At 36.2% G+C, this 11,066-nt stretch overlaps 1 protein-coding gene across 14 annotated transcripts in view; it reads left to right on the forward strand.

Moving 5' to 3' along the window:
• Positions 1-10,814, forward strand: part of ARL6IP6 (ARF like GTPase 6 interacting protein 6) — a 44,749-nt gene extending 33,935 nt beyond the window's left edge. For 13 of the 14 annotated variants that reach the window (NR_146422.2, NR_024526.3, NR_146423.2 and 10 more), the window contains one exon: positions 8,165-10,803. Coding sequence is in view for 3 of the 14 variants with exons in the window: in NM_001371972.1 (NP_001358901.1) it covers positions 8,165-8,258 (94 nt within the window). In the remaining 11 variants the exon portion in view is untranslated. Of the gene's footprint in view, positions 1-8,164 lie in introns of all 14 variants that reach the window. The other variant, NM_152522.7, reaches the window with a different exon arrangement.

Genomic DNA, 11,066 nt, shown 5'->3' on the forward strand with positions numbered 1-11,066 from the left:
TGAGCTCATTTTTTTTAAGCTTACACATGTGAGTGAGAACATGTGATATTTATCTTCTTATGCCTGACTTATTTCACTTAATGTCCCCCAGACTCATCCATGTTGCCAGGAATGACAGTATTTCATTTTTTTTTAATGGCTGAATAGTATTCTGTTGTGTATATGTACCACATTTTCTTTATCCATTCATCTGTTGATGGACACTTAGATTGAGTCCATATCTTGACTATTGTGAATGGTGCTGCAGTAAACATGGGGTACACATATCTCTTGAATATACTGATTGTCCTTTCTTTGGGTAAATACCCAGTAGTGGAATTGCTGGATTATATGGTAGTTTCATTTTTAGATTTTTGAGAAACTTCATACTGTTTTCCATAATGGCTATATTAATTTATATTCCCATCACCATGTTAGACTATTACACAGAATTTCAGAAATTATAGTCATTTTGCTTTATTGATCTAAATTACGTAATAAAGGTAAGTTGCTTCTGATCAGGCTTATTCTTCTGGGATTAGGTCCTTTCCTTTCCCTTATCTTTCTCTTCATGAAATTGTAGAAGAACCAATGAATAAAAATTACATATTCTCTATTCAGTCTTTTCAAACCCCTCTACCCTTCTGTTACCATTTGCCTAACAGTGTTTTCCTGCTTCAGAGTATGGAAATAAAAAGTCATGACCTGCAATAATAAGAACCATTTTGGAATCCATAGTAGACTCCATGATGAAACTGAACAAAACTGAAACCAAGCCTGGGCAACATGGCAAAACCGTATCTCTACAAAAAATCAGCCAGGTTTGGTCATGCGTGCCTCTAGTACCAGGGTTACTTTTAGGAATGCCTTGAGTAAGTTGTCCAGGTCGTTGGCATTTTGAACAAAGAATTGAACAAAACCCTCAAAGTAACAAAGGAACAAAATACATGAACGAAGCAGCGACAGCAGGGATTTATTAAAGTGAGAAAGTGCTCCGCAGGGTGGAATTGGGCCCGAGCAAGCGGCTCAAGGGCCTGGTTACAAAGTTTTCTGGGTTTTAAGTACTCCTTTTGAGGTCCCTGTTGGCTGCCTCTCATCTGGATGAAGGATTTGGTCTTTTGCTAATTAAAGGCTGAGGTGAATAGGCACCCTATGCAGGATGTTTGCCCTTTCCATCTGAGATGTAGTGGAAGCGAGAAGGTTGTAGGGAGAATAATAGTCTTTGATCCTTTGTTACTCCGGTGTGGGGAGATGGGGCTTTTCCTTTCAGTTTAGCTTTAAGAAGTGTGCCTTAATTGGCTTTAGGTTCCCTGCCCTAGACCCAGGTGTTTTCCCTTTGATTGAACTTTAGGAAATTGGCCTTAGATTCCCTGCCCCCAGATCTTGGTGTTTCTCTTTTAGGAGGTTAGCACAGATTGGCCTTAGATTCCCTGCCTCCAGACCCTATTCTCCTGCCTCACCAGCTACTTGGGAGGCTGGAGTGGGAGGATCACCAGAGCCCCGAGAGGTGGAGGCTGCAACGAGCCATGATCATGCCACTGCAGTCCCGCCTGGGTAACAGAGTGAGACCCTGTCTCAAAAAAAAAATAAAAGCAGGAGACTGAAAGGAAGCCACCATTCTTTTTACTCCATGTAGATATGACAGCTCTTTTGAAAATAAGCTGAATCTTGATTACTTCTACACTGCTAAATAAAAAACTGATTCTTAGGAATAGGGAGGAAGGGACCTGTAAAGAATTAATTATAGGTTTTGTTCCTCTGACCTAAAAATGCCTTATTGGTAAAACATCTCATCACCACCACCCACATACATACGCTCAGAAACATAGATCTGTTTTTAGATGCTGTAGTCTATTCAGATGCCTTTTTTATTTCTGTATCAGTTTACTTCTTTTTAAAATTACTTTGATTTTAGGTTATGATTTGAAATTTTAGAATATTTATTCTTTTTGCACATTTATTGTATCAGTTGAACTGAGTATCAAAATGCCAATTTTCTACCAAGAAAAATCCTATTGAACTACTACTGAGATCTCATTGAATTTATAGGTGTTTATTAAAAAAAAAAAGAAATTGACACCTTTACAATGCTGAGTATTCCCAGGTTATGGTGGAGACCTCCCTTCATTCAGGTCCTCTTTTTTTTTTTTTTTTTTTTGACGGAGTCTCGCTCTGTTGCCCAAGCTGGAGTGCAGTGGCGCGATCTCAGCTCACTGCAAGCTCTGCCTCCTGGGTTCACACCATTCTGCCTCAGCCTCACGAGTAGCTGGCACTACAGGCGCTCGCCACCACGCCACGCCCAGCTAATTTTTTGTATTTTTAGTAGAGACGGGGTTTCACCATGTTAGCCAAGATGGTCTCGATCTCCTGACCTTGTGGTCCACCCGCCTCGGCCTCCCAAAGTGCTGGGATTACAGGCGTGAGCCACCACGCCCGGTCCAGGTCCTTTTTAATGTCTGACAGTAAAGTGTTTTTTTGTTTTTTGTTTTTTTTTTTCATATAATTTACATAGGATAAAACTTTACTCTTAAAATGATTAAGTATTTAATATTTTCACTAAAAACTACTGAATAACAATATTCAGCAACCATCACTGCTAGAACATTTCTATCACTCCAAAATGAAAACCCCATACCCATTAGCAATCACTGCACCATTTCCTCCTGCCTCTATCCCCTGGAAACCCATAGTCTACTTTTCGTCTCTATGGATTTGCCTATTCTGGACATTTCATATAAATGGAATCGTACAGATTTTTTTTTAATGTAGTCTTTTGTGTTTACTCCTTTCACTTAGCATACTGTTTTCAAGGTTCATCCATATTGTGGCATATGTCAGTACTTCATTCCTTTTTAAGGCTGCATGGTTTTCCGTATGGATATACCATTTTTTAAATCCGTTCATCAGTTGATGGACATTTGGGTAGTTCTACTTTTTTACTATTAGGAATAATGTTGCTATGAACACTCAGGTACAAGTTTTTGTGTGACTTGTTTTCAGTTTTCTTGGATATATACCTAGAGTGGAATTGTTGGGTCATATGTTAACTCTGTGTTTAACTTTTTAAGAAACCTCCAAACTGTTTCCTACAGCAGCTGTATCATTTTACATTCCCACCAGCAATGTTCAGGACTTCTGATTTCCCCACATCCTCACCAACACTTGTTTTCTTTTTCTTTTTTTAAATTATAACCATCCAAGTAGTGAGTAAGATGTGCTATATCTCTTGTGGTTTTTGTTTTCCATTTCCGTATAACTAATGACATTGAGCATCATCAGCTTTTCATGTCCTTATTGGCTATTTGTATGTATGTGGGCGGCAAGCCACCCAGGTGCCAAGGCAAGAGACCGAGGGCATGAGCTGTTCCACTATAATAAAATATATAAAATAAGAATAGTTATACTAGATATAGATCATAGATGTGATTATATATGAATATCATTAATCATTAGTTTGTAGCAATTACTCTTTATTCCAATATTATAATAATCCTCTCTCTACAATCATAACCTAGGAAAAACCAGGCCATACAGAGATAGGAGCTGAGGGGACATAGTGAGAAGTAACCAGAAGACAGAATGGGAGTCTTCTGTTATGCCTGGCCAGGGCCACCAGAGGGCTCCTTGGTCTAGCGGTAACGCCAGCATCTGCGAAGACACGCGTTGCCAAGCGGACCATGGTCTAGCGGTAGCGTCAATGCCAAGGGAAAACACCTGCTACTTAGCAGACCGGGAAGGGGAGTTTCCCTTTCCCCGGGGGAGTTTAGGGAAGACTGTACTCCTCCACCTCTTGTGGAGGGCCTGACATCCGTCAGGCCCGCCTGCAGTTATCCGGAGGCCTAACCATGTCCCTGTGATGCTGTGCTTCATTGGCCACGCTCCTGGTCCACCCACTTTCATGTTCCATCCTGTACACCTGGCTCTGCCTTTTAGATAGCAGTAGCAAAATTAGTGAAAGTACTAAAAGTCTCTGATATGCAGAAATAATGACATAAGCCTGTCTCTCTCTCTTCCTCTCTCTCTCTGCCTTGGCTGCCAGGCAGAGAAGGGCCCCCTGTCCAGTGGACACGTGACCCACGTAACCTTACATATCATTGGAGATGAGTCACACTCTTTACCCTGCCCCTTTTGCTTTGTATCCAATAAATAACAGCGCAGCTAGACATTCGGGGCCACTACTGGTCTCCGCGAATTGGTGGTAGTGGTCCCCCGGGCCCAGCTGTCTTTTCTTTTATCTCTTTGTCTTGTGTCTTTATTTCTGCACTCTCTCATCTCCACAAATGGGGAGAAAACCCACCGACCCTGTGGGGCTGGACCCTACATGTGTATATCTTTGGATAATTGTTTATTCAAATCCTTTGCCCTTTTAAAAATTTGACTTTTTGTCTTTTTATTTTTTACTTATAAGAGTTATTTTATATCTTAGTAGACTCTATCAGATATAAGATTTGCAAATATTTACCTCCATTTTATGGGTTTTCACTTAATAATGTCCTTGGAAGCACAAAGGTTTTTAATTAGATGATGTCTAATTTAGGTTTTTTCTTTAGTTTCTTGTGCTTTTGTTGTCATATCTAAGAATCTGTTGCTTAATTCAAGGTCATGAAGATTTATACCTATGTTTCCTTCTAAGAGTTTTATAGTCTTAGTTCTTGTATTTAGGTCTTTGGTCTATTTTGAGTATATTTTGTATATTGTGTAAGGTAGAGGACCAAATTCATTCTTTTGTGTTCAGTGTCCTATAACACAAAAAATACACATTAATTTGAGATGAATTACAGATTTAAATATCAAAAGAAGAAAAGTAAAACCTCATTAAGATACAGAATATCTTCATAACCTTGGAGTAGTCAAAGATTTAATGAAAAAGCCACCAAAAAAGCACTAGCCATTTTTTAAAATATTAACTGGACTTTATTCAAATTAAGAACTTCTGTTCATCAAAAGATCTTATTAAGAGAGTAAAAAAAGACACACCATAATAAACATTATTTACAACACGTATCTTTAACAAAAGATTTGTATCTAGAATACGTAAAGAACTCTATAAACCAATAGAAAAAAATGAGAAAAAGTTTTGAACACAAACATCAAAAAAGAGGCTTTCTGAATGGTCAGTAAGTACATTAATCATCAGAAAAATAAATATTAAAACCACTACAACATACTCTGCAGACCTACTAAAATGGTTAAAATTTATAACACTGATAATACCAAGTGTTCATGGTGATGTGGAACAACTTAAACTCATACGTTGATAGTGGAAGTGTAAATTGGTACAACTATTTTTCATACTTTCTACTAAAGCCTAATGTATATCTACCTTGTAACTCAGCAGTTCTACTCCTAGGATCTATCCAAGAGAAATAAGTGCAGATTCCCACCACCCACCGAAGACGTGTTCATAGTACCTGTATGTATAGGAGCCCCAAACTGGAAACACCCATCAGTAGTAAAATGGGTAAATACATTTTGCTATATACTGCAGTAGAAAAGAACAAACTAATACTACATACAACATGGATGAATCTCACAAAGACAGTACTGAGCAAAAGAAGGCAGACGCAGAAAAATATTTATTGTATGATGCCATGTAGATGTAGTTTCAAGAGCAAGTGAAACTAATCTTGGTGACAGCCCTCAGTATTGCAGTTACCTCAAGATCTGCAGGAGGTAAGTTGAATATTTAAAAGGGATCTTTTTGCAGTGCCAGAAATGTTCTCTATCTTTATGTGGTTGGTGAGTATATGAGAGTCTACCACAGTAAAAATGCATTGAACTGTATATAAATGTTAGACATTTGCATTTTACTGGTATGCTTTAATTAAAAAAGTGAAATGCATGTATAGATATAGATTGGATGAGGTAGACATTGTATTTAATTATCATTTATTGAAGATATTAAACTCATTAATTGAAGATAATATTTTCATTTTACTTGAGTCAATTTTAAATAAGTCCTCTATAGAGTTTTGACAAAGGAGAACCATAATTCCTTCAGTCTTTGTTAACAGACTTTAGAGATCACAAATGAGAGTCACAAGAGAGAAAGCCTGCAGGGATTGTCTGTCTTCCTCCAAAGAGGAAAATCATGGTGAATATTTTGAAAAGCTTTAAATTAAAGCAAGTGATTCTTCAAAGATTTAAGTCCTTTACCTAGCAGTAGTCTGTGACAATTGCTACAGTGTTCCCAGTGGGAATATGGTACATTTGAGATGACAAAGACTAGGAACCACTACTCCCGAGCATTTTTTCATTGCCATTAAAATGCATTGCTTTGCCTGCTTAGTAAGGAAGTCACTGAACATTTGAGCATGTACATCTCAGTAAAATTCAATTCTACCAACATTGTAGTTGTCGGCTTAGTAAACTGAACTTTAAAGGTTTTTCTATTTTTGTGGGATTGTGAGGATCACAAACTACTAAAACAGAACAATTAACTCTGGAAACCTTTTGATGATTAACTTTATTGGGTGAGTACAGTCATCCCCCTTTATCTGTGAAGGACTGGTTCCAGGATTCCACACAGGTATCAACATCTGAGGATACTTGAAGTCTCATTCAAAAATGGCTTAGTATTTGCATATAACCTAAGCATATCCTCTCATATACTTTAAAACATCTCCACATTATTTATAATATTATACCTAATACAATGTAAATGTTATATAAATAGTTGTTTTATTGTTCAGGGATTGACAAGGGAAAAAAGTGTATACATGTTCTGTACGGATGCATTTTTTTTTTCAAAATATATTCTACCTGCTTGGTTCATTTCGCAGATGTGGAACCCACTGATATGGAAGACCGAACTGTATTAATTTAAAAGTTTTTTGGATCGTCACTAAATATTTTATGATGAATGATAATGCTGATTGTTCAACTTTAGGTTTCTGTTCACTAGTCATCAACATATATTTGAGGAATTTCTTTTTTAAAGGGACAAAGCATTATACCTATTTTACGATGTAGATAGGTAATATAGGTAGGTAGATTAACCCTTAATAACACATGAGAAGCATCTTTGACTAGCCCTAGTTGGGTAAAGAAAGGTTGAGTCGAAAGTAAATAATAACTCCCTTGGAACAGAGCAGGGAACCATCAGGAAGCATCAGGGTCTATGTAGCTTCAGATGAATGCAAAGGGCTCTTCTTTGAAGAATGTACCTTCTTCAATCTCTGCCACAGATATTGTGCGACTGGAATCACTATGAGGTGCTCTTCAAGTGTTAGTTCACAGCTAAGTGCTTCTCTGGCTTTGGCTACTCCTTAGGAAAGGAGGAGAGGATATGGGTATTTATGACCGTCTCAGTCCAGGGCCCTTACTGCTTTTGTCTTTTGGCTTTTACTTCTGCTAGTGCACCTTCCTGTGTGTCCTCAATTTGTTTTGCTCCAGAAAGGAGAGTATTCTGTTCTGCCTTCTAGAGAGTCTCAGTTGGATACTACCTTCTTTTCTTTTTAATATGTCTGATTCTTACTAGGATAAGCAAATAGTATTATTGCAATACAGTTAGTGGGAAAAACTGTTGTAAGATTGTTACAAGATAAAGGAAACAAATGTCAGGGAATATTCATGCACATAAGAGTTATTAAACTAGTTGGCACTCCTAGCAATCATAAAAGAGATGTGTCTTTGCTGATTCTTAAGAACTCATTGAAAACCACTTCAATTAAGTAACCTATTAGAATGATAGCTGAAATATCTATGAAAGACATAGGGAGTTCCTTCATATAACCTAAAAGTGGTGCAAACAGAACAAATACTTGAAATAATATGTATTTTAAGTCAAATCAAAGTAAGAACAGACAGCATGGAAACACACCGCTAATTAATGAAAGAACTGTTTGTAAAATAACAAAACTTATACCTTAGAATTAGGTTATGGCTACACACAGTGACAATGAAACACAGTAAAGAAATAATAGGGATGAAACTCAGCATTACTCATCAGTAATGATTTGAAACAACTGTAATTGTTAACCAGTACAGTTTTGACACAGGACTTAATAAGATCTATCCACTATTTATCCTGCAGATGTCCAATATTCTTTAAGTTTTGTATTCATATGTGAACATTTGGGAAATACACTCCAAGGTCATAAGTATTTTCGATGAAAACTTTTGGTGTCTTTGTTATACCACGTTACATTTTTCTTTTTTGATTTGTGTTTTTCTTTTTTTCTAGGAAACTGACTGGACATTCTTTCCACATGGGCTATAGCATGGCGATTTTGAATGGCATCGTAGCTGCTCTTACTGTAGCATGGTGCCTCATGTAAACCCACACTGGAGCGATATTGTTGGCAAAACTTAATCATGATTGTTTTGTAATAACAAGAAGGAGCATCACTGTCTACTCAGAAGACTGAGAAACCTGCTGTTCATTATGTAGTTCAGATATTTATCACAATCATCCTCATTATGGAAGACCTTTTAAAGCATTGTTTTAGAATGTCTGAGTATTAAGATACAGATTAATTGGGAATATCTGAGTATTAAGTACTTTCTTCAGAGTATAAGATGTTTACCTCATCTTTTTACTTTTGTGTGTGTAGTTCTTTCAAGTTGTAGGAAACATTTTAATGGAATTTAAACTCAAAAACTTGAATACAGGACAATGCTTGCCTTTTCATGTATGTACTACATTTTTTGCTAAGAAATACTGATATTTCTGTTTAGTTGAGCTAGAAATACTTCTTATTTATACATTTAGGAAAGCAAATAATGCCTACTACTCCGACTTTTATAGAAGCTACTTTTAAATCAGAATATTTAATTTTTGATATTCATATAATTAATAGAAGTTGCATTTATATTTTTTATGGGGCATAGTTCCTTATGTGTTTTTTTAATGTATTTTCATACTACATACTGAATTTGTATGTTTTTAAAATTGTTACATCTAGACAACTGTAAACATTATTTTTTTAGCTAGTGCAAACCTAGTACCTGCCATTTTTACTAATTTTTGTCTTTAAAAAAAGCAAAAAAGCACATTGACCTAAGTTGAAAATTAAGTAAGTTTATTTTTAACAAAAAATGCCTGAAAAAAGCTAAATTATTTAAGTCATTAAGATATTGAGAAAAAATTTGAAATTTTTACTATTTCTGTTTCCACAATTCCAAATATTTATCTTGGTGTATATATTGTTACTTTAACAGAACTTGCATTATTTTGTTTTTAATAAATATAAACATGAAATTTTTGTATGTGAGAATGATTGAACTAGTTTGTTCTTAATCTCAAAAATTTAGTTACCAAAGTAGAAAAGGTATTTTGATACTAGATATTAAAAACTACATATAGTTAATATAATTTTATAATTTTTGTAATTAAATGTGCTCCTGTAATTGTGATATTTTGTTTTCTAAGTAATTAAGCCTTAATTTTTCCCCTATGTTACTAAAGACTTTTAATGTTTAGAAAGTTACCTCAGTTTTAGAAAGATGGACTACTTACAAAGCTGTTTTCCCTGGCCATAGGAAAACTTACAATAAGAAACCATTAAGTAGTCAAACTGCTTATTCAGGCTAAGTGGGAAATGAATTTGTGCAGTGTGTTCCCTTAATTATCTACTGAATGTTGTTACCGACTAAACAAGGTTTCTAAAAGTCTCGCATTTCTTTTACTATTCAAAACTCTTTGGTTGGAAATGACTAATACTGCTCCAATTTAAATTATCTGAAATGTGTGTGTGTGTGTGTGTATCTAAATATCAATCCCATGGCTTAAGTATTCCTACCAGAGTGGTGGTTGCCATCAGTCTATTTTCACTCCCTGCCTTCCTTCCTGCACGCTTAAACTCTTCACCCTTTGACTCCAAAGAGCCCTTTCATTGCAAAGATGTACACAAGTAACAGAATCAATTTATCTTCTCTCCACCACTCTGTATTCCCACGCACCACCAATGTGAGTAACTCCCTCCAGATTGTTTGTGTCTAATGACTAGGAAAGTTATTAACAGTAGACCCTAGATAGAGATATGTACACCCTAGACAGTCATGTGCCATATAACAACGTTTTGGTCACAACGAACTGTACTTATGATAGTGAATCCCCCCGTAAGATTATACTGCTGCATTTTTTACTTTATTTTTTCTCTGTTTAGATACACAAATATTTACCATTGTGTTACAGTTGCCTGCAATATTCAGTACAGTAACATGCAGTACAGGTTTATAGTCTAGGAGCAATAAGCTATACCATATAGCCTAGGTGTGTAGTAGGCTATACCATCTAGGTTTGTGTAAGTATACTCTGATGTTCACACAATGATGAAATTGCCTAATGACGCTTTTCTCAGAATATATCCTTGTCATTAAGCCAAACATGACTATATATACCTACAAGATATATATTAATATAGATAAATATAGAGAGAGATGTATCCGTAAGATATTTTTGTGGAATCCTAATTCTTCTGGACTGTTACTCCCCTTTTTTGGGAAATGACCCTCCTCTCTCCAGTCTGACACAGGGTCCAAATATAAATCATCTATATGCAGAATGATTAGGCAAGGATAGTCACCTAACTCTGGCTGAGCTAATCCTAATCTCATTTTGCCTGGCTACAATGAGTAGAATAGAGAAATGACTTCAGTGAAGTATGTCTCTTCCCAGGATTTTTCAGCTTGAAATTAAGATGTGACGAAGCTGGGAAAATGCAAGCCCAGGAAATGCTGGCAGCTGTAGTTCAGCCAGGCTCAGTGGGAAAGAATAAGGCTGATAACGGATATTGCTAATGGCGTTACCCTGGTCCCTGAAGCCCAGTGGCAATCCTGCCATTCTTGATACGTGAGTCAATAAATTTCTGTCTTTTGGCCTTTGCAGTTTACATTGGCTTTTGTCATTTGCAACAAAACAAGTCAAAATGAGCTTATCTAGCAGCTGGAATCCATCTCTATTGTGAAACTGACTCAGATGATCTCATCTCCTTATGTGTAGCTTACAGCATTCTATTTAGTTACTTGTGAAAGATAAACGGGGTGTAAGTATTCCTGTGGCTAGTGATTAGTCTCAGGGACTTGAAAAGACATTTTAGAATAAATTAAACTATTATTAATCTTGCTGTTTCATCAAGAAATTA

Source organism: Homo sapiens, chromosome 2 (genome assembly GCF_000001405.40).
Source record: "Homo sapiens chromosome 2, GRCh38.p14 Primary Assembly".
NCBI classification, from domain to species: domain Eukaryota; kingdom Metazoa; phylum Chordata; class Mammalia; order Primates; family Hominidae; genus Homo; species Homo sapiens.